Raw genomic sequence first — 25,015 nt, 5'->3', positions numbered from 1 at the left:
CCCTAGTCCCCTATCTACCAAAGTATCCTTGAAGAACCCTAACCTCTGAGTCTTCAAAGAGACTGATTTGAGTAATAACTCCATCTTCCACATGGCTAGCCTGTATTAATTAACTCTTTCTTTACTGCAGTGCCATAATCTCAGTGAATTGGTTTTGTTTCTGCAGTGGGCAGGAAGAACCTGTTGGGCATTTATAGTATATAAGCTTCTGTACCTTACTAGGAAGTTGGGTCTTCATTCTGAAAGTTCTTGTGTACACATATTAAATAAATTTGTATACCTTGTCTCCTATTAATAAAAAAACTATACACGTGTATGTGTATATATGTGTATATATACACACACATAAACATATATTTTCCCCAGAGAATAGAATTCTTATGCCAGCTAACCAAGAGAACATTTACTGATCCCCATGTACTTAGGAAAACAGTACAAATTGGTAAAGCAGCTTTTGCATATTGGGAATAACACTTAACACTAGCTGTTCAGCCTTGGTTAAGTAATTCCCTCTGAATCTGGTTTCCTCTCCAAGCAACTGGAGATAATTTCCCTACCTCACAGGATTGGGGTACTGATCGAATGAGTACGTATATGAAAGTATACTGTAACCTGTAAATTGCAGATATTAACATGTCAGATATTAATGTCAGGAGTCAGTAGAGTGCAGTGGTATAGAATATGGGCTCTGAAATCAAACTGCTTGGCCTCATATTGTGGCTTTGCCATTTACTAGCTGTGTGACCATGGGCATGTTAAACTCTGTGAGACTCAGTTTACTTACCTGTACAATGGGATAATAATAGAACCCATTTCCATAGAGTAGTTGTGAAGAGTAAATCATTAATGAAGATAAAATGCTTTGCACTGTGCCTTGAACATAGTAAGCTGTCACTGTGAACAAGGGAGTAAAACAATAAAAATTCATTATATTCTGCAGGAATGATCACCTTTCACATATGCAGTCATATTTGATTATAAACAACTTTGTGAGGTTGGTAGAACAAAGTATTATCATCAACATTTTACAGAATAAAGTATTGTCATCAACGTTTTACAGAAAGGTTGATGATTCCCTCAAGAAACCTCAGCAAATAGGTGGTAGGCCTTTGATTAGAACCTGAATTCATTTCTTAAGGGCTAAGATGAATTCTGAGACTGTTTGTACAACGCAGCCCAGCAGGGGAGAGCTTTCTGGCTAGGGATCTCCTGACAGGCAGCTGCCTTCTTCCTCTCCTATGTTTAGGCCCTGACTTATTACATGTTATATTATTACTATGGTCTGAATGTTTGTGTTCCCCCTTAGAATTCATAAGTTGAAACACTAACTTCCAATGTAGTGGTATTAGAAAGTGGGGGCTTCGGGAGGTGTTTAAGTCATGAAGGCAGAGCCCTCATGAGTAAGTTTCATGCCTAAACAAAAGAGACCCCAGAGAGCTGCCTTGTGTCTTCTACTATGTGAGAATATAATAAGAGGCACCATCTATGAGCCAGAAAGTGGGCCCTCACCAGATGCAAAGTCTGCCTTGATCCTGTACTCCTCAGCCTCCAGAATTGTGAGAAATAAATTTCTGTTATTTATAAGCCACTGAGTCTATGGTATTTTGTTATAGCAGCTTGAATGGACCAAGACAAATACCAAGTTATCAAATAGGCCATGGGTGGGAGCAAAAAAAGTCTTCTTCATTTTCTCTGTGTGTTGTGTAGCACACTTGAATTGAATTCCCTCATTCTACTTCTATTACTAAGAAATACATTTAATCGTGAATTAGATTGCAACTTCTTTCTAATATAAGTATGTTACTGTCCATTGTGCACTGGAAGTCTTTCCCACGTCTATTTCTTTTATGAGGCTGTCTTTTTTTAAAACCTCTTTGTTAATCACAGCAGCTATCTCTGTCATTTGGGGACCCACTCTATATTAATGAATATGGATTGGAGTCTTCCTAATTGTTCTCTGAATACCTCCCAATTTTCAGAAGGGTAATTGATTTCAATCAACTTCATTAGTACACTCTCTACACTCTTGAAAGCCTGTAATTTTCAAGTTCAATATTTGTGTGCTCACACCCTCAGGAGTGCTTCATTTGGATCCCATTACAATCCTGGAGTTGTAACCAGTACCAGCTTTATCATGAAGCTTACTTATTTTCTAGTATGGCTGAGCCATGCTTTAGGGCATACCCCATACATAAATATATACATTTTCGTAAAAGCAAAATTACACAAGTATTTTTAAATTTAAAATGTTAACAACTCTAACTCTGGCTCTAATGAAGAGTGTATTGAAATGATTGCCTCTAGGGTTATAATAGAGTCTGAGGTAAAGAAACTAAGGTCAGATGTTAGGTGTTTACTGTAGACAATTAGTCAAAGAGAAAACTTTAGCTTAGAAGTGAGAGGAGCTCTGGAAGATAATATTTCACAAAAAAGTCACTTTTAGTTTAACTTCTAGAAATATAAATGAAGAGAAATATATTTGATACATTGCCACATAATAATTAGCTTTTTCTGGTTATGAAAGTTTTCCCATATTCGTATATATTTTTTCTTTTGTTGCCTACGTCTACGTTCAAAGATCTGTGGTGGCTTACTGTATTTCTGTGGAATTGGAGTAACTAATTATAGTCTACAATAGATACCCGGTTGTTGGTTCTGCCTCTGAAAGCTCAAAGCTCCTTATTAGATTTTATTGGAGAAGTACCTAAATTGAAAATATGAACACTTTTATCCCTATATTTCTACCAGAATCACCTCATTGAGGTTCTTCTTGCCATTCTTCAGCTGGACTATCGCAAAAGCTTAACTGGACTTTCTACACCTCTTCTCTCCCCACTTCAACACATTACACACACTATTGCCAGAATGTTTTCCCCCAAACATTGTGTCATTCCCATGTTAGATCTTCAGTAGCTCCCTGTCACCAGTGGCCTGGAGTGCCACATCACCCATAATCTAATTTTCAACTTACCTTTCTAATTCTATTTGCTTTTACAACTTCATATACCATATGTTTCAGTCAAATGATTGTGATTCCTCGAATGCTCCATAAGCATTGGCACATACCTGTGTCTACATATGCTGCTCCCTTAATGAGCAACACCTTTCTCACCATCTCTCTGTATGGACATTTTATATGTCTGCATTTGTTACAGTAACCATAGGCCCTTATAAAAAAGAGACCATAGAGTAGAGTGGCTTAAAAATTCAGAACTTCATTTTTTTTTCTCTCGTGTAACAGCTCTGTTGTGTTTCAGAATGCAATGACTCTGCTTTGTGTGGTCATTCAGGATCATAGCCTCCTTATAAGTTGTCAGGTCAAAAAGTTATTGCTCTACCATCCCCTAGAGTGTCATCCTAATCTGAATGATGAAGAGTGGCCCACCTCATTCACGTTCCAGCTAGAGGAAAAGGAAAGGGTGAATAAGACATGTACACTCTCTTAGGGTCTGGGTCTGGAAGTGGGCACATTCATACATAACTGTGAAGGGGGGAGCTAGGAAATGTAGTCTAGCTATATGTATGGAAGAAGCAGAGAAAAAATTTTGGTGGTCAACCAAGTTTATGACACTTTGAAATCTGGCTCACATGCCATCTTCCTTCTTTAGGCTTTTCTGAGCCCCTCAGCTGGAAGCAATTTCTCCTTCCTCTGATCTATTTTAGTTGAGGGCTTCTGAAACTAATGTGTACAAGAATCACCCGTAGATCTTGTTAAACTGCAGAGGCTGAATCAGTCAGTCAGCATTGGGAATTGAGATTCTCCATTTCTAATGAGCTCTGAAGTGATACTTATGCACTGGTCTGAAGAATACACTTTGAGTGTTCCAGCCCACTGTCTGTTTCTCTCTTGTGGAATGTAATTTTTTCTACTTCATATTAGCTATTCATGTGCATAACTTAACCTCCTTACTAGACAGTTAACTCCCATAGCAGAACCTGGATCTGTCACTCTCACCCTGCCTCCCTACAGCACTAAGAATAGAGCATGCACACTTAGATATGGTTAATAAATATTTGAATAATTGATGAGTGGCTTCAACTAATTTAGAATGTTGAACATAAGCTTTTGAAGGGCAACACTACTTATGTTAGTTTCTGGACTATGCTTAGTGCAATTACCCATTTGAAAATTGTGTGTTGAAAACTCCACTCCTACATAGCCCAGCCAAACTAAGGGAACACCAGCCAGAGAGCTGAGCTAAGTGAAATTCAGGAAATGGAAACCACATTTTATTGAGGACTTTTTTTCCCATGTGCTGTAACTATTTCAAAGGAAATGCTAATCCCTATGTTTGGAATTCATTACCAGAGAGCTTCTCTGCTTAACAAGCGTGACTTTATGCCCACAGAGCTTCATAAGCCAATTTTATCAATTTTGTTGACGAGGTGGCTTTTTTTTTTCCCCACCTGGAAACACTCAGTGATCTTCTATCTGGAAAGTCTCAAGTTGGGTACCAATTAAAGCTGGATAATAATGACTCAAGTTGGCACCATTTTAGCCTGTTCTTTTCTCAGTCCTAACATACGTAGTCATGTGTTGGCCTTGGAGATTAGGGTGGAAGAAGGAAGAGAAGATAAAGTGGGTTAGGGTTTAAAACAGAGGCTAGTTTGTAATCTAGCCTAAGTCTTATGAAGCAAAGTAAGAAGACCTGAGGTCTCCTGCCTCACACCTGCCTGCGTGATGGAACTCCTAACTGGAACTATTTTGTACTTGGACTTTGTCGTAAATGAGACAGAGCTGAGGTTTCCCTTTTGGACTCTGTATGTAAAAGGTTTCACAAGCAAATTAATCACATTATTAAGATTTTACAGATTCTTAGCCTAGTTGAAAAAATGAGTTTTAGTTTCTATTAGCCCCACTGGTACAATCGACTAATGCACCAATCACAAACCACAGAACTTCACAGTGGGATCCTTCACTTTTTACCTGTAGGCTCTTTACTTGGCAGTTTCTTTTTAGCCCTTAGTTCCATTACTAGGCTTTGGAATTGAGAAATGGATATTCAGACATGCCATTAATTTATACTGACCCCTCTCTTTCCTTACTGTCGACTAGATATAAGGGTTTATGGTATTATCTGCCCAGTGTGTCCGGTAAGTTGTTATTGCTCATGTCTGCACTTGATTTTGTAGGTATTCCACATTTTTTGGCCTTCCTATTCCCTTAGTGAGAACTTTAGCATCACAATTCAAGAATGAAAATATTCTCAACAGAGCTAGGGTGAGGCAAAGCAGGCCCCAAGGGAGCAAAATTTAAGGAGGCACTAACTTGCATACGCATGCCCTGGAAGTGAGCACCTCCTTAAATTTTGTGCCCTAGGCACCTAGCTTGCCTTATTTTAGTCTGGGTCCTGAGTTCCAAATCAGAGAGCTCAAAGTACTAGTTGCTAAGATCATTTGGACGATTGAGTCAGCCCTAGTCCTTTACCCCAACTTGTAAGCGTGTGTATGCATGACTGCAGAGATCCTACAAATGTATATATGAGACAATAAAAATGGAATTCTGCAATCATGATTTTATTAATCACATGAAGGTAAGACTGACATTCAATGTTTATTTGCCCTCTGTGCTGCAGCAAAACAGTCTTGACATAGATTTTTTAATGAGCATGCATTAATTATTGGCTTTGAGAATCTCCTTGAATTTAACTCTTGCTGTTGCTCCATGGTCTCAAAGTCCCCTGATTTTTCAGACCATCAATGGCACATCTAAATGTAGACAAATGCATCACTCTTATCCAAGTGCCTAACTATACTCACTTGCAAGGCATATGTGAATACCACCTAATTAGTTGTGAAGTGCATTTTGGCATATGTCGGAAGTTAAAGCCACTTCCTTAGAGGAACTCAAACTCCGAATTTATCTTTATTAAGGCCTTGTCCAAATGATATATATACACTGCCTCCTTGCTATCTATTGCTTGGAAATAAATCACTTTAGGATTGATTTGCTAACGGCTTTCTTCACTCTAAGGGTCCTCCTGCCCGAGAGGTCACACTGTCCTTCTTCACAAACAAATATTGATAACCAAACAGAAGACACCACACTGACCATACAGTGAATGAAGAAGGAAATCTGGAGTGAGGGGAAGCATGACCCTTTGCACAGCCTAGAAAAAAAGAACCTTACTAAAGTGTAATATTATATTCTGGACAAAATCCCCCAAACCACTTTTTAAGAATATGAGTGAACAAATGGGATATATTCATCTTTTTTTCAGCAAAGTGCTATGAACGTTGGTACTTTAGTCAGGAATTACAAACGCCTCCAGGAGTCTGCCAAGTAATAGAAATCAGTGAAACTGGCTGGGTATGAGACAATCAGGAGTGGTAGGGACTCCAGGGAAACAGAGAATGCACTTATCATCCACTGCAGCTGCTTTTTGTCACATGGGAATATGGGCCAAATCTTGTTAGATCTTCTGATTCTTCAAGAGAAGCAGGTAACTTGATTTTTTAAATAACATGATGGCTCCCATTTTTTAACTTGTGGAAAGTTAGCTTAAGAACATTTTAAGTCACTGTGTGGGATAAATAAAATATCCCTAAAGGACAGATTTGCCTCACTAAGTCTTGAAGTCTGACTCCTTTCCAGTTGTGATTCCTTGCTCAGGACCATAACTCTGGATTCACATGGTGACTTTTAATGGCTCAGCCAATAATACTAAAGTTGTGTATTCTTAAGATGCCAAGATATTAAATTGTATTTTAGACAGTTAAGTTTACAATTATCTTTGTCTCACTGCACATGGGTGGCCCCGCCTGCCTGTAGTCTTAGCTCACTCTCTACATTATCGGCATAACACAACAGTGGACACTTGATTTCCATTAGCCAGATGTAACTGATTGTCCTACCTTCACCTTTAGAGTGAGGCCACAGGGGCCCCATGGAACCACCTGCTTCTTGAGGAAGAAGTACGTACATGGAAATAGTGCTGTCTTAACCAGCTTGGCTTTCTTACATTTTTAATATCTTGCTTGTCTCAACTGCTTATTCCATGGTCATTGTGACTTCTGTTTGCCTGTTTCTGAATCTGTCAGTTGTTGACTAATAGAGGTAGAACTTGAATCCAGGTGTCTATTTCTTGAGGGAATTTGTTCTGCAAATTTATTATTTGTAGGTTGAAGTGAGACTTCTTTGACTTGTCCTGTGTCGTATATATTTTAAATTAGCTTGAAGTTTTCCTGCTCTTGTGATCTATGATGTGAAATTATTTCATGGCCTGTGTAAGTTCAAACACATTCCAAAAACTTCTGTTAACTTCCAGAGGAGCCTAATACTTCCCGGGCACTCATGCTGTCCCTGTCCCACACTATATTTGTATGAAACATAGCCTTTGTCTCTCCATCTGGTTCTCTCTCTCGTTCATTCTCTCTTTTTCTCTCTCTCTCACTCCTACTACTGCTCTCACTCGCAATCCATCCATGAGCTCAGTAGACTTTCCCCAGTCACATTACCCCTCCCCTTGCCACCAGGCTTCGTGCATCTCACTCTGACTGTGCCCTTCCCATCACAGCTCCTCACCCCTGCCTCTCAGCTTTCCCTGAGAATGCTAAATTCTTTTCCTTCTACATTGATAGAGCAGCCTCCTTACTTTTATGTGGCCTTGTTGCCACTTAACACTAAGGTCATTAGAGTTGGGGGATGACCTTTTTGAATCTGTAAAAATAAACTCAGATTCTTTTTGTTAATTAACAAATGAACATAGAGCCAAAAAGCCTTGCTCTCAAGTATCTTAGGCTGGGTCTACTTCTGAGCTAAGGCCTGATGCTGATGCCTTTACGCATATCCCTGTTCTACCTTGAGACTATCAAAATGCTGCTTCATTTAAATTTTACCTCCCCTCTTCTTCCCAATCTCAAATATCCCTATCACTTCATTTGTTTCACGAGTTGCCCCATGCTTCCTCTGATGTGCAGTCTCCCTTGCTTTAGGAAGTTAATAAACTTAACTTTGTCAGACTACAGGGGTGTCCCTGCTGGTCATCATCAGAGGGGCTTTACTACCTTCTGCTGCAAGCATTTATTAAAGTATTTGTCCCAATATATGCAGTTTTCTCCCTAAAAGGACTTACCTTTCATTACAATATAACTTCGTGAAGACAGGGAATTTCATCTGTTTTCTTCACTATTTCTAAAACAATACTTGGGTCATGTTGAAAGAATGAATGAATAAATTCTGTTAGTAGCCCTTAAATTAATACAGTTATCTCCACATCCTTATAAGAGTGTGGTACCTCATTTCAGCTTCCCCTGAACTCTGCCTTTGGTTCTGAAATAAGAAAGACTGGGATAGACCCTGTCTTAGTCCATTCAGGTTAATATAGCAAAATACCACACACTGGGTAACTTATGAAGAACAGACATTTATTTCTCACAGTTCTGGAGATTGAAAAGTCCAAGGCCAAGATGCTGACAGGTTCAGTGTCTGTTTTCTGGTTTTTAGATGGTGCCTTTTTCTGTGTCATCACGTGGTAGGAAAAGGGCAAACAAGCTCCCATGGGCCTCTATTATAAAGGTGCTAATCCCAGTCATGAGAACTCCATCCATACAACTTTATCACCTCCCAAAGGCCCCATCTTTTAATGTCAACACCTTAGGGATTAGATTTCAACATATGAATTTTGGGGGAACATAAATATTCACATGATAGCAGACCCCCATTCCAACATTTAGCTGTATAATTTGGGATAAATTATTTAATCTCTTTATACGTCTATCATTTTAGCTGTGAAGTGGGGAAGATGCTACGTATTATATTTGGTTGGGAAGATTAAATGAAGTGATTTATATGAAAGGTTTATTGTGGAGTGTGACACATGGTAAATGTTCAGTAAACATCAGCTAGTATTTTTCATTATAACTCCCCCTGGCCTTAATTTTTCCAGATTCCAGGCACTTGTACATCACTGTGCCCCTGCTTCTATTTTGCCTCATGATATGGTAAGGTACGTATGTCTTCTTTGTTTAGTTGTAAACTCTTTGAGGGTAAGGTCCATGTCTTACTTACCCATGTATCACTGTAGATAAATACATCTATATATCGCTGGCACATAGTAGGCCCTCTAATAATCTGTGGTTGAAAAGTCTACCTGGAAAAGAAGATGACAGTAAGAGTGCAGAGCTGAGCCTGATTGGTAAATGCAGTGACTGCAGAGACTGTTAGCTGATTATGATAGAGCATTAATAGCTTCTTTTCTGAGTGGTTTTATTTTTTATTTTTATTTATTTATATTATTTTTGAGACGGAGTCTTGCTCTGTCGCCCAGGATGGAGTGCAGTGGCATGATTTCTGCTCATTGCAACCTCCACCTCCCGGGTTCAAGCAATTCTCCTGCCTCAGCCTCCCGAGTAGCTGGGACTACAAGCGTGCACCAACACGTCTGGCTGATGTTTTATTTATTTTTTATTAGAGACAGGGTTTTGCCATGTTAGCCAGGCTGGTCTCAAACTCCTGACCTTAGGTGATCTGCCCACCTCGGCCTCCCAAAGTGCTGGGATTTCAGGCTTGAGCCACTGCATCCTGTCGTGAGTGGTTTTAGAATCTAACAATTAAACAAGAGGAGCGGGGCAATGCAGGAGCTTTTTTGTGTTGTCTGCCCCTGCTGAGTGGGTATTTGAATGACCCAGGGAAAACGAGAAGGGCCAAGGAAGTGGGTATGGACCAACCTGGTCATTTAATTCCTCTATTCCTCAAGAATTGCCACTCCAGCCTAGCCTAGCAATTTGGAGCAGTGGGTGAATTATTTGTAGCTAATCTGTTAAGCAGAGATCATTGTGCTGAGCTGTACTGAGGTTTTGCTCTCCTGGCTACCAGGTGGGGACCTGTGACCGCTTTGTCTTTTAGTTGCTCTGGGGACTGGAACTAAAGGCATAAAAAGCTATACGTTCACTTAGGCGGGCTTAGCTCTGTGAGTGGCTCTCTACTTGTGAAAGTATTTATGACAATTGCTCTCCTGCTACACACACACACACACACACACACACACACACACACACACACACACACACACACTGCGTGGCCCAGAATACAGAACAAGTCTCAAAACCTAGGAGAAGGTAAGAGGGCAAGGTTTTCTCAACATCCCTTTCCTGCACATCCTGCACAAATTCACACCTTTTGGCTTTTTGCTCATTTCCCAGTGTCCCAACCCCACTTGCCCTCTTTAGTATTCTCCAAGGGGTTACATTTGATGATCACTAAGATCCTCGAGCCTGTGGTGTGCTGGTAAATTGGCTCTCTAGGGGAAAAAAAGCCCTGATTTGTAGCTTTGTAGTGTTTCCTGATTCCCTTCCTCCCTCTTTTCCCCCTCCCTCCCTCCATTTCTCCCCACCCTTTTCTCTTTTTCCTGCATTCCAGGCATAATTAGTCCCACCCCTCCAGTTCATTCTGCCTAGTTTTTCTTGTTTTCATCTTAGTACACATAACTTGATTTTCTCAGCTGTGTGTGGCAAACGTATATACCACGTTATTTTTTAAAAAATTTTTCTTGATCTGTATAGCTAATTGAAATGATTTACTGGTAGCAGTTTTTTATCCAATCATTGCTTTAAACCACACTCATGACATCCACAACATAAGTAGGATGTTTTTGTCATTTTCTTGGACATCCTAGCTAGATAAATCAGGCAAGAGAAAGAAATAAAGGGCATTCAAATTGGAAAGGAAGAATTCAAATCAACTTTGTTCACAGATGACATGGTATTATATTTAGAAAACCCTAAAGATTCCATCAAAAACACTGTTAAAATTGATAAATGAATTCAGTAAAGTTGCAGAATACAAAATCAACCTACAAAAATCAGTAGTATTTATATATGCCAACAGTGAACAATTTGAAAAAGAAATCAAGAAATCAATACCATTTATAATAGCTACAAAAAATATAAAGTACCTAGGAAAATTTAACAAAAGAAGTGAAAGATCCCTACAAGGTAAACTATAAAACACTGCAGAAAGAAATTGAAGAGGATACAAAAATGGAAAGATATTCCATGGTCATGGATTGGAAGAATTAATATTATGAAAATGACAATACTACCCAAAATGATCTATAGATTCAATGCCATCCCTATCAAATACCAATGACATTCTTCACAGAAATAGAAAAAGCAATTTTAAAATGTATGTGGAACCACAAAAGGTCCTGAATAGCCAAAGCAATCGTGACCAAAAATCTGGAGGTATCACACTACCTGACTTTAACAGACTTTATTTTTTACAGTAGTTTTAGGTTCACAACAAAAGTGAGAGAAAGGTACAGAGATATTCCTTATATGTTCTGCCTCCACATGTGTTGAGCCTCCCCATTATCAACATCTTCCATCAGAGTGGTACATTTGTTCAATTGATGAACCTACATGGACACATCATTATCACCAAAAACTCACAGTTTACATTACTGTATATTTTATGGGTTTCGATAGATGCTTAATGATGTGTATCCACTACTATAGTATCATAGAGAGTAGTTTTATTTCTCTTAAAAATCCTCTGTGCCCCACCTATTCATCCCTTCCCCCACTCCCTGGCAGCCACTGATATTTTTACTGTCTCCATAGTTTTGCCTTTTCTTGAATGTTACATAACTGGAATCATAAAATATGTGGCCTTTTCAGATTGGCTTCTTTCACTTAGTAATGTGCATTTAAGTTTACTCCATATCTTTTAATTACTTGATAGCTCATTTCTTTTTAGCACTGAATAATATTCAATTGTTTAGATGTACCACAGTTTATTTATCCATTCACCTACTGAAGGACATCTTGATTGCTTCCAAGTTTTGGCAAGTATAAATAAAGCTGCTATAAATATTCAGGCTCAGGTGTTTGTGTGGATATAAGTTTTCAACTTCATTGGGTAAATACCAAGGAGTGCAATTGCTATATCTTATGGTAAGAGTATGCTTAGTTTTGTAAGAAACTGCCACACTGTCTTCCAAAGTGACTGTACCATTTCGCTTTTCCATCAGCAATGAATGAGAGTTCTTATTGCTCCACATCCTTGCCAGCATTTGGTGTTGTGTTTTGGATTTTGGACATTCTAATAGATGTGTAGTGGTATCTCATTTTTGTTTTAATTTGCATTTCCCTTGTGACATATGACATGGAACATTTTTTTCATATGCCTATTTGCTATCTGTATATCTTCTTTGGTGACATGTCTATTAAGGTATTAGACTATATTTTAATTGGGTTGTTTCCTTACTGTTGAATTTTAAGAGTTTTTGTACATTTTGGGTAATAGTCCTTTATCAGATATTTTCTTTGCAAAGAATTTTTTATGTTTTTTTTTAAAAAATATAAAGTAGGTTTTCAGGTTTCTTTTTTTTTCATTTTTTTGATGGAAGAAAGATCTATATTTCAATGATACGGGGCTTACATTGTACTTCACATTTTCCTTTTATCCTCTCCCCCTTCCCCCATCTTGTTAAGCAGCACAATTCTTTTCTGAGCTAATGCATCTCTAGGCTTATTCTGACAATAGCAACAAAGAACAGATGAGTCCAGCTACTGATAGTCTATTTCCCTTCCTTTAAGGCATAAAGGAGTATGCCCTATTTTCTGCCTTTCAAGTTTTGTTGGCTGACATAGCTTTACCATACTTTGTATAATAGTTGCTTAAGATGAGTTGCTGTCTGTCCAGGATTCAGCGCAGTTTGGCATTATCCATGACTTGATGCCGAAGAAGAATTCACCTATGTAATTTGTTTCTATCATCTCATTGCCCTAAAATAAATGATTTGATGATGAAATAAAATGTGTTGTAGAAGCTGAGGAAAATTTGCAAAGTGCATAAGAGAAAAAAGGTTCTCTGTGTTTTCAATAAATGACCATTCATGATAATGAGGATACAAGAGCACTTGAACATAACAGAGACCAAAATGTTTTTATATATAAAAACTAAGAAGCCCAGAATCAGTGTCATATTTTGAAAAGTATTATGTTATGGTAGATGCAAAACTACCTGGTAGTATCTACACTCCACTTAAAATTCAACTTCTGCTTGGTTCATCTGATTCTTTCAAGGTCTTAAATGTTAAATGAAGGGGTAAAATAGGAAGGTATTTAAGTAATTAGCAGGCCTCCTGGGTCTTGATAACTTCAGTGCTTCTGGGAGCTGCCCGGTTGGCCACCAGTCTCTGTGGAATCCAGGGGCCTCTTCCCAATATGGATTTGACCAGCACTTCAATTAGTGAGTTTCCATTAGCATCTTAGCATTACTCTTTAATACAGACGCCTTATTTTCCAGGGTTTATGAAAGTTTAAGTGACAACCATGATTGCAGGAACAGACTGTTGAGAAGCTGTTTTTCAGTGAAAAGTTGGGTCAGGAGATTGATGGAGGCTTTGAAATTAGATCCTTGGATTGAAACATAAAGTTGGCAGCCATGAGTCCCATCAGTGACTTCTCTATTAAAAGTCTCCTTTTAATTGTGGTAAAAATATTTTACTTGAGATCTACCCTCTTAACAAATTTTAGGTTCACAATACAGTATTGTTAAGTATAGCAATATTGTACAATTACAGTAATTAGTTAAGTAATACAATATTGTACAGCATAGCTTTAGAACTTATTCATCTTACGTAATTGAAACTTTATACCAATTGAACATCAACCTCCCATTTCCCCCTTCCCCCAGCCTCTGGCAACCACCATTTTATTCTGTTTTTCCATGAGTTTGACTATTTTGGATACCTCATGTAAGTGGAATCATGCAGTATTTGTCCTTCTATGACTGGCTTATCTCACTTAGTGTAATGTCCTTCAGGTTCATCTGTGTTGTCTCAAATGGCAGGATTTCCTTGTTTTTTAAGGTTGAATAATATTCTATTTTGTTTATATACTACATTTTACTTATCCATGTAGCCATACATGGACACTTATATTGTTTCCAGATCTTGCCTATTGTGAATAATGCTTCAATGAACATGAGAGTGCAGGCTATTTCTTTGAGATCCTGATTTTAGTTCCTTTGAATGTATACACAGAAGTGGAATTGCTGGATCATGTGGTAGTCCAATTTTTAGTTTTTTGAGGTACTGCCATACTGTTCTCTGCAGTGGTTACATCAATTTACATTCCCACCAACAGTGTACAAGGGTTCCAATTTCTCTTCGTCATTGCTAACCCTTACTTTTTGTCTTTTTGATAATAGCCATTCTAACAGTTGTGATGTAGCATTATTGTGGTTTTGATTTGTGTTTCCTTGATGATTGGTGATGTTCAGCATCTTTTCATATACCTGTTGGTCATTTTAATGGCTTCTTTGTAGAAATCTCTATTCAATTCCTTTGCCCATTCTTTTTTTTTTTTTTTTTTTTTTTTTTGACAGAGTCTTGCTCTGTCACCCAGGCTGGAGTGCAGTGGCACAATCTCAGCTCATTGCAACCTCTGCCTCCCGGATTCAAGCAATTCTCCTGCCTCAGCCTCCTGAGTAGCTGGGATTACAGGCACCTGCCACCACACCTGGCTAATTTTTGTATTTTTAGTAGAGAGGGGGTTTCTCCATGTTGGCCAGGCTGGTCTCGAACTCCTGACCTCAAGTGATTCTGCCTTGGCCTCCCAGAGTGTTGGGATTACAGGCGTGAGCCTCGACGCCTGTCCCCTTTGCCCATTCTTAAGTTGGGTTATTTGGTTTCTTTTGCTATTGAATTGTAAGGGTTCTTTATATATTTTGGATATTATTTCTGTGATGTAAATACACTCACCAAGGCCAGTTTCAAGCTACCAGCTTGAGGGCACTGAATTCTGTGTTCAGAAGAGATGTGCACGATTGGCTCTTGTAAACCAATTTGTCAGTTTGTGCTAGCTCCAGAATCCTATTGCCTTGATCTCTGACATTTTTTTTTTACTTTTGTTCCTGATCCTTTTTCTTTCCATTTCCCATTATAACACACATACAATAATAGCTAAAATACCCAAATTAAACTACAAAGCTTCTTCTTAATAATCAAACATGGCAAAAAATGTTAAAGTGTTTCTTGCACACTTAACATATACACTATGAAATCAAGGTTGTGTCAAGGATGTGTGCTAGCTGCTAATTTTTAGTACAGTAAGTCCTCAATGTCATTGACAGGTTCTTGGAAATTGCAACTTTAAGTTAAATGACATAAAAAAACATTATTTTCTCATCAAGGATGTTAAGTGAAGACTTAATGTATTGATTAGGGAAGGAACAGCAAGAAAGACTATGTTTTGTTGTTCTGTAATACTCTCTGAATTGACAAGAGCCTCTCTGAAAGTCAAGCTTCAGTTCTGATGATAGTAGGTCCCCTGAGACACCTTTTATAACAGACGGTCCTCTCTCCGTCAGCTATGGCGAAGCCAACAGGGAGCAGTAGTATCAAAATGTAAGCAAGTACTCCATTATACTCATTTTATTTATGTATTTACTTTTTAAAAAATGGAGTCTGTCTGTTGCCTAGGCTATAGTGCAGTGGTGCAATCATAGTCCCACTGCAGCCTCGACCTCCTGGGCTCAAGTGACCCTCCTATCTCAGTCTTCTGAGTAGCTAGGACTACAGGTGCATGCCACCATGCCCAGCTAATTTTTGTATATATATAATATGCAATATATTATTTATAATATATATGATATTATATATTGTATATATCATACATACAATATTATATCGAGTATAATATATTGCATATATAATATAATGCATATATTACATATAATATATTGCACATATAATATAGTGTATATATTACATATAATATATCACACATATAATATAGTGTATATATTACATATAATATATTGCATATATAATATAGTGTATATTTTACATATAATGTATTGCATATATAATATGGTGTATATTTTACATATAATATATTGCATATATATTATATTGTATATAATGTATTGTGTATGTAATATATAATATATTGTATATGTAATATATAATGTAATATATTGTATATATAATATAATATTGCATATATAATACATACAATATATTGCATATATAATACATACAATATATTGCATATATAATACAATATATTGCATATACAATACATACAATATATAACGTATTGTATATACAATACATACAATATATAACGTATTGTGTATACAATACATACAATATATAACGTATTGTATATACAATACATACAATATATAACGTATTGTATATACAATACATATAATATATTGTATATATAATACATATAATATATAATATATTGTATATATATTATATATATATATATATTTGAGATGGAGTTTTGCTCTTGTTGCCCAGGCTGGAGTGCAATGATGTGATTCTGGCTCACTGCACCTCTGCCTCAAAGGTTCAAGGAATTCTCCTGACTCAGCCTCCCGAGCAGCTGGGATTACAGGTGCATGCCACCACGCCTGGCTAAATTTTGTATTTTTTTTTTTAGTAGAGACAAGGTTTCACCATGTTGGCCAGGCTGCTTTAGAACTCCTGACCTTAGGTGATCCTGTAGAGACAGAGTCTCTCTAGGTTGCCCAGGCTGGTTTCAAACTCCTGGCCTCAAGCTATCCTCCCTCCTAGGCCTCCCAACGTGATGGAATTACAGGCACGAGCCACCATGCCCAGTACATTATTTACTTTTGTATTTTAGCTTTTTTTCATGTTCTCACATATGCTAAACAATGCTTCTTCCTAATTTAATACATCAATTTCTGCTGCCATTGGAAGCTTCTGAAAATTGAATGTGTTTACTCTAGCTTGGAAGACATGGATGAGTGAAAAGAGTTATGCTTTCTTGCAAATAGTCCAGGAGTGGGAAACAGAGAGACAGCTAGAGCTAAGTTTGACCCAACCTGCTTAACATGTGTGAGATTTGGTCTTAATTCCTTCAGTTTTCCTAGGTATTACATGCTCATTCCTCAGCCTCTGCCCAGCTTCCTCACACAGTCCCTCCTTTCTTGTCTTTGTTTCTCAGGCTAGATCCCAACAAATCTCACCTGGAGAAACTTGGAAAAAATCTAAGCAATAAACCAGGAGTCTAGTGACTGCTGATATATATTTATATATTCTATATAGTCTCCCTCAGAACAAAGGGACAAGGAACCTGCGGGGTGTGCTGGTAAAACATGAACAACCAACTTTCTAGAACAAAAAAAAAAAAAAAAAAAACCAAACACCGCATATTCTCACTCATAGGTGGGAATTGAACAATGAGATCACATGGACACAGGAAGGGGAACATCACACTCTGGGGACTGTTGTGGGGTGGGGGGAGGGGGGAGGCATAGCATTGGGAGATATGCCTAATGCTAGATGACGAGTTAGTGGGTGCAGCGCACCAGCATGGCACATGTATACATATGTAACTAACCTGCACAATGTGCACATGTACCCTAAAACTTAAAGTATAATTAAAAAAAAAAAAACTTTCCAGAAAAAAATGCATGTGCGTGCACATTTTTACATTGTATTGATATAAAGGATGAGTAGTACACAATTAAAAAATAGCATGCGTTACTCCTTATTTTAAATTCCACAAACCAGTTTATTCTTACAGAATGCTTTTGTTGATTTTTGCAAGTTCTTTTATCCATAGTCAATCTATGGTTGTGATTGATGAATGAATGTAGTCCCTACATAAACGTGACTGATATTCTCATTTATGTTAATGATTAATGAAAGTGAAACAACAAAGATGCATGTCAGAATTTCACTTATTCATCAGTGATGTGGGCAACTCCTTTGTTGAATCAAATAATAGGTTTTGAAGATTGGAAGAACATTGTTCTTCTTTTCTTGATTAGTCAAAATGTAATGCCTATAGATATAACAGTTTTAAGTTTAATCTGCATTATTAATGCTTTCTCCATCACTTTTTAAAGTTTGGACTATCAACAAAACAATAAATTAAGCCTTGATCTTAAGCATTTCACAATTTTCATACTGTAAATAATCCCTACCATAGTTGATGTCAAGCTACAATTGCGATGTTACTGGGTAAATAGTGGGAAGAGATGCACAGAAGCATACCATTATAGGGTATTTCCACCCTAAGGATACTATAGCTATAAATAACCTCAAGGGCATAGATAGACAAAATGTAATGTAATTCAAGAATTAGAAGGTGATGTGTTTTGACTATTACTTTTGGTTTTAATATAATTTCATTGTAGGTAGACACAATTGAATTTTTAATAATGGCTGTGTTTAAAAACCAGCTTACAGAATTTTTGAAGATATAAAAACTGGCTCTTGTGAGCTAGGATATATCAACTCCCAGCACACTGGCAAGCAACCAAACTTATGAAGGACCTATTATGGGCTAGACATTGCATGTGTAACCTGTAAGATTCCTTAGCTCTCAACAGTCTTAATAATAGTATATAATCCAATATCATTGGCTCTTGCTCCATCTGCTTCTTGTAGGATCCCAGTACCCTGTTGTGTCTCTCAAACTCTTGGCAGTCTCTAGTGGGTATCCCCTATGTGATCATGAACATGTTTGCTTGCCATGTGCTGTTGCTGCTTTGTTGGACATTAACCACACATTCATCTGGAACTACTGTCTCCCATTGAGGCACTGTTGTTTCTTGGGTGCCGCTCCTGCTCTGCTGGAATCTGATTTCTCCTTCTCACCCTGTTGCCTTTCTGCTGAGTGCTGACAACAAAGCACAGGTGTGTTCATGGCCCCAGAACACCTGGAAAATTTTTCTCAAAGTAGGAACAGCATACGTCTTTTTCATTTGAATTACATTTTATTGGAAAGTGTCCGAAAGCAGGACTGCTGATTACCTTACAATGTTTTTGAATAATCCTTTTACTTTAGAGTAGTTATCTTTTTAGATTTACAGAAAAGTTAAGATTTACTTCAGGGAATTGCCACATACCTCATACTCAGTATCCCGTATTGTTAATACATAATTATGGTACATTTGTCACAATTAATAAATCAATATTAATGCATTATTATTAACTTAAGTTGATGCATTATTCATATTTCCTGTTTTTCCTAATGTCTTTTTTCTATCCAAGGATCCCACCCGGGATACCAAGTTACACTTAATTATCGTGTCTCTTTGGGTTCCTCTTGGCTGTGACAGTTTCTAAGACTTTACTTGCTTTTGAAGACCTTAACAATTTTGAGGACTACCAGTTAGTTATTTTGTAGAATTTCTCTCAATTGAGATTTGTCTAATGTTTGTCTCATGGTTAGACTTGGGTATGGGGAAGGAAAACCACAGAGGCGCAGTGCCATTCTTATCATTCATATCAAGGGTACAAACTATCAATATGACTTATCAAAGTTGATATTGACCTTGATCACCTGACTGAAGTTTTCAAGTTTCTTCAGTGTAATAACTGAAACCTGACTTCTCTGGTGTAAAGTCACTCTTTTAAAAATATCTTTCTATACTGTGGTCTTTGGAAGGAAGTCACTATGTACAACTCATTGGGTTGATTGGGTAGTATCTTGAGGGTAGAGTATCTCCATAAATTTTTTGGAATCTTCTGCATGGGAGATTTGTCTGTTTCCTCCCATTTATTTATTCAATAATTTATATCAGTATAGATTCATGGATATTTACTTTGAACTTCAAGTTATACTCTAATGTAGTCGATCCTTATTATTCATGGATTTCATATTTGTGAATTTGCCTACTTACTAAAATTTATTTGTAAACTGCAAATCAATACTTATGGTGCCTTCATGTTCATTTGCAGACATGTGCAGAGTGGCAAAAACTTTGAGTAGTCTGATATAAACCTTCTCAGCTGAGGTGGAACAAGGTGATGTTCTACCTTCTTGTTTGCGGCTCTCATCCTGTAAACAAGTATTCTTTTTTTGGTGTATTGATTTTCATGTTTTTCCAATTTTTGTACTTTTTGTTGGTAAATCTATGTTAAGGTAAACATGAATTTAAACTGATGTTTCCAACTCTATTCTAGCCTCTCCACTTGCTCATCTGTGACCATCCATTTCAACAGCAAGAAACTTGGCTCTTACCATCTGCTATTCATTTACTTAATTGTTCAATTCTAGTATACTGTACATGTACAGCAGTATCAGAATTGTTAACCCATACCCCATGGGAAACAACTAATAGAGCATGGTGCTCCTGTGCAGTTCCTTTTGCCTTAACTCTTACAGTCCCCACTCACCTCCAAAGTTACTTATCTCAGCACCCTTTTCCCCTTCACAGCTTTCACTAATACTCTTGAACATCCTTAACTGTTCCATCACTCCCTATTCTGTCATAGGCCGTGTGGGATTGGGCTAGGAAATAGAGCCAAATGGCAGATACTTCACAGTGCTTAGGATCCCTGATGACTTAAGCTGTTTCAACACTCCCATTCCATCCCTTATCAAGGTCAATATACCTTATTCCTTCCCTTACCATGATTCTCCTCCAGAAGCCTTCCCAGACCACATCAAAATAGGCCCTTTAGGAATTTTTAAAGTTCGTACCAGATTTACCCAAATGTGTCTGAGTCCTAATTAGAAATGCTGTGGCCCCTGCTGTATACATTCCATCTCATTTAATTTTATTTAATTCTCTTAGAAATAATTCCTGAAATGTATAAAGTGCTTACTATTGTCAGGTATGTTTCCTAAGTATAAGTGTTAACTTGACTAGGTCTCAAAATCTAATGAGGTAGGGTCTATTGGTATTCTGCTTTTTTTTTTTTTAATTTTTAATTTTTGAAATGGAGTCTCACTCAGTCGCCCAGGCTGGAGTACAGTGGCACAATCTCGGCTCACTGCAACCTTCACCTCCTGGGCTCAAGCAATTCTCCTGCCTCAGCCTTCTGATTAGCTAGGATTATAGGCACGTGCCACCATGCCCGGCTAATTTGTATATTTTTTAGTAGAGACAGGATTTCGCCTTGTGGGCCAGGCTGGTCTTGAACTCCTGACCTCAAGTGATCCGCCCACCTCAGCCTCCCAAAGTGCTGGGATTACAAGCGTGAACCCCTCGCCCAGCCTATTCTGCCATTTTACAAATGGAAAATAGAGACTCAGAGAGGTTCTTCTCCCATCCTTATCCATTTTTGACATGCAAACATATTTCAATTCAATAAACCTGTACTGGGGCCAGGTGCAGTGGTTCATGCCTGCACTGCTAGCACTTTGGGAGACCAAGGTAAGAGGACTGCTTGAGACCAGGAGTTCCAGACCAGCCTAGGCAATATAGCAAGACCTCGTCTCTAAAAAACAAACAAAAAGAAAACAATAACAACAAAAACCCATATTGAACACTTACTTTCTGCAGGCATTGTGTTAGACACGAGTGAAAAAAGGGAAATGAATAAGAAATGGTTTCACAACTCAAAGAGCTTTCAATATGTATCAAAATATAATTTCAAATAATATGGAAAGGGAATAAATTGCTTTGTACCTGCCTGGTGTATTGGTCCATTTTGCATTTCTATAAAGGAATAGTTGAGGCTGGGTAATTTATAAAGAAAAGAGGTTTATTTGGCTCATAGTTCTACAGGCTGTACAAGCATGTCACCAACATCTGCTTGGCTTCTCGTGAGGCCTCAGGAAGCTTTTACTCATTACAGAAGGGAAGGGGAGCCATCATGTCACGTGGTAAGAGAGGGAGCAAGGGAGACGCGAGGCTCTTTTAAACAATCAGCTCTCCCATGAACTCATTACCATGGAGAGGGCACTAAGTTCTTCATGAGAGATCCTCTCCCATGACCCAAACACCTGCCCCACTACCAACACTGGAGATCACATTTGAAAATGAGATCTGGAGGGGACAAATATCCAAACTATAACACCTGGTTCCTGCTTAACACTCACTGAGGAATGCCCTGAGCTTTACCTTATTTCCTTTTGGTTCCCAGGCCTCCCAGCATCTTTCAGGTTGGCATTTCCTGGCTTCCTCATCATCCGCTCTTTGTCTCCCCAGTCTAATTAGTAGATTGGTGGGAGGTAGCATGAGAAAGGCAAGGCTTTTCCCCATGTACCCATTCTTTGCAGCAATCCAGCCATTTGGGCTTTAATTGGCTTCATAGGGCCCCTCAGTGCTTTGTCCTTTGTGCATCAGGAAGTTAATTACTTAATAAACCAAATGGAGTCTTTCAAAAGTGCAGTGTTAGCTTTTCTTTATCTTAGAGTAAAACTTGGACCAAACTGAAGTACTCCAGTCACTGTGAGAACCAGCCAAAGATAAACCTGTGAAGCTGGAGAAATTTGTGTTAAGTGCTCCAAATTTAGGAGTCTTCATTCATAGTATGTCTTTTCACAGACCTCTAGGGCCCCTCTGTATGGCTCCTCCCTTGAACTTGCCCTTTCCATGCTTCTGTCTGTGTTTTGCCCTTTTCTTAGTGATTCCTTCCATCAGAATACTGTATATGTTTTGTGTCCTATTTCTAGGAGGCCCTGTTTAGTTGATATGATAAAACAATTTAAAATAATATTACCAGCCAACACTTACAATGTAAGCCAACACTTATAGTCATTCTGTTAAATAATTTATACATATGTATTAAATCCTCTCAATAACCTATGAGGTTGATAGTTCTTCTTACACCCATTATACAGATGAATAAGCCAAGGCCCAGAGTGGTTAAGTGACCTTCTAAGCTCACACAGCTAGCAAGCAGTGGAACTGGGATTTGAATCCAGGTTGTCTGGCAGTAAAATCCATGGTCTACAAACCACCAAATTGTAAGACAATGGTGTTTTGTTTGTAATGACTGGTAATGGCCTAGTTGTTGAGGCACATTTGCACGATTTCCTAATCTTTTTCCAAAGTACCAACTTTGTAATTTAACTTGTCAAGTGTTTATGGAGCACCTACAATAAACTAGATAATTTTCATCTTAAAAATAACATTAATGTCTTAATTCCTGGGAGTGATTAATGTAGGCATCATGAAAGGATTAGAGAACAATTAAATGTTAAATTGCATAGTATTGATTGTAAGTACACTGGTATCTGGGGAGGTGGAATTGTGCTAGGATTGGATAGGTAGAGATGAAGGAGGGAGAAGACATTTCCAGTAGTGAGAAATAACACTGAAAGGGATGGAATTGAGAAGATGAAGAGGGAGTAATGTGGAGATGTGCCTGACTAACAGTAATTTTCAAGTCTCTGCATAATTAAGATTAGAACCTCACTCCGCCACTAGGAGTTGCACCTTCTGACAAGGTAGACAGATTGGGTTCTTAGAGGCCATTTTAACTTTCAGCCTTAACAGGAGTTTCTGTGTCCTAGACTTAAGAGACTGGAGAGAAAACCTTGAGCTGTCCTTTGAGGTCATAGGTCAAAGTCACTACTGCACCACAATTTATTGCTCTGTTTACCCAAGAGGGTTAGTAATCCAGCCTGTGGTCACTCAGTAGCCTTGTTCTTTCCTTTAATGGAAGAACCCAGTGAAGACTCCAAAAAATCTTACCTCTGCATCTGTGTGAGGCTGCTTTTCCAATTCTTGCCACCTGGTCCCAGTAGGATGGAAGTTTTGGCCCTTGAATCTTTTGGTACTGTCTTTCATGTGTGCCCCCTTTCTTAAGCTTCTGAAATTGTTCTATACAGAGAGTTACTTTGATTAAAGTGACCAAACTGGGACAGAAAGCTGCCCTGTACTTTTTATTTCTCATTTTTATTATACATAGCCATATTAGAGTACCTTCTGCAGCGATAACAATGTATGCATTGCCCCAAGTTGGCTCCCACCCAGTAAAAGTCAACACTTAAACGTTCTTCCCATTAGTGTGTGTATCTCTGTTCTCAAAAAGAATTTAAAGTTCTAAGAAACAGCAATTACCCCAACCCCCAGAAAAGCCCCAAACCCAAAAGTGATCTCTCTTCCCTTGTTTGCACAGAAATAGGCTTTAGTTAGCAGGCAGTAGGTGGCATAAGTTTTTATGCGGGGGAACAGCATGATAAAAGTGGTATTACAGTAGGATTGATCTGGCAATACCGTACCTAGTATTTCTCACACTGTGCTACAATTGCCTGTTTATTTGCCTTTGCCTTTTTCCCTCAAAGAATGTAAATTCCTTGTAGGACAATCACTTACTCATCTCTACCTCCAGTGCCTACTACAGAGCTAGTTGAGTGAGGAAAGGCTACAGGCAGAAAGATCAATTAAGGATGTAGGAGTAGGGGTGGGAGGAGGCTGAGGTAATCCAGTTATGTGTGGTGATGGAAGCTGGGATGAGAACAAGATCTGAGGGATATTTTGTAGGGACACATGCCAGGATAACATGGATGAAAGGGTGAAGAATATAAGAGTACATCAGGATTTTGAACTTGGAAAATCAGAAAATAGGCAGTATTGTTAGGTTTTAGGGAGAAATAAGTAATACCTCTTTGTTCCTCTCCTGAGTTCTGAACCAAGTGAGAATTGAGACAGTAAGTAAATGAAGTTCAAGATGTGATTATTAGTGTCCTGTGAATTATGCAGATTTCCCCATATAGTAATTGGCACACCAGGACAACTGTAGCCTCCCCCTCCAGGAGCACAGGTCATCCTGTAAGATTCCCATATGGCTGAGAGCAACCTAAAACACTCTTTCAGGGCAGGCAGAGGTGAAAGAGAAAGCTGCAGAACAGGGATCAGCCAACCTTTAGTGCAAAAAGCCAGATAGTAAATATTTTAGGTTTTGCAGGCTAAATGGTTGATCTCTGTCACAACTACTTGCCCCCGATGCTGTGGTGTGAAAGCAACCACAGACAGTTGGTAATGGAACAAGCGTGGCTGTGTTCTAGTAAAACTTTATTTACAAAAACAGGTGATGAGCTAGATTTGGTTCACAGGCTGAAGTCTTCTGACCTCTCAACAGATGGAATGGAGTTGTATAGTTTCTTCATCAGCCTCACTAGTAAGTTAAGTCACACCTTGAGGAAAAGGGAATGAGGGGCCCCAGAAAAGCCAGGCGTGTTATGCTAGTGGTGGCTCAATCAGGAAAACAGGAGGCCTGGGGAATGCAATTTCCTTCTAACAGATACCACTGACAGAGATAAAGTAATTTGGAAGAGAAGGTTGGCGGAGAGATGCTAATCTTGGAAGGTGTGGAGTTTGAGGAGACAGCAGGACATC

General features: G+C 38.3%; 1 long non-coding RNA gene across 11 annotated transcripts in view, besides 1 other annotated feature; it reads left to right on the top strand.

The window, feature by feature from the left end:
- LOC124905213 (uncharacterized) overlaps positions 1 to 25,015 on the top strand; it is a 275,363-nt gene that overhangs the window by 104,578 nt on the left and 145,770 nt on the right. Inside the window, exon 4 of one of the 11 annotated variants that reach the window (XR_007068316.1) lies at positions 8,889 to 8,948. The exons of the other annotated variants lie outside the window; for them this stretch is intronic. This is a non-coding gene — a long non-coding RNA (uncharacterized LOC124905213). The remainder of the gene's footprint in view (positions 1 to 8,888; positions 8,949 to 25,015) is intronic. 11 annotated transcript variants of the gene reach the window in all.
- Positions 13,049 to 13,227: a silencer, noted in NCBI's record as "fragment chrX:128202605-128202783 (GRCh37/hg19 assembly coordinates)". NCBI's record gives its function as "represses an EF-1alpha promoter that drives an FKBP-Casp9 reporter gene in an ReSE screen in K562 erythroleukemia cells {active_cell/tissue: K562}" and the evidence as "EXISTENCE:reporter gene assay evidence [ECO:0000049][PMID:32094911]".

This window comes from Homo sapiens, chromosome X (assembly GCF_000001405.40).
Source record: "Homo sapiens chromosome X, GRCh38.p14 Primary Assembly".
Taxonomy (NCBI): domain Eukaryota; kingdom Metazoa; phylum Chordata; class Mammalia; order Primates; family Hominidae; genus Homo; species Homo sapiens.
This window is presented reverse-complemented; position numbering and strand designations above follow the sequence as displayed.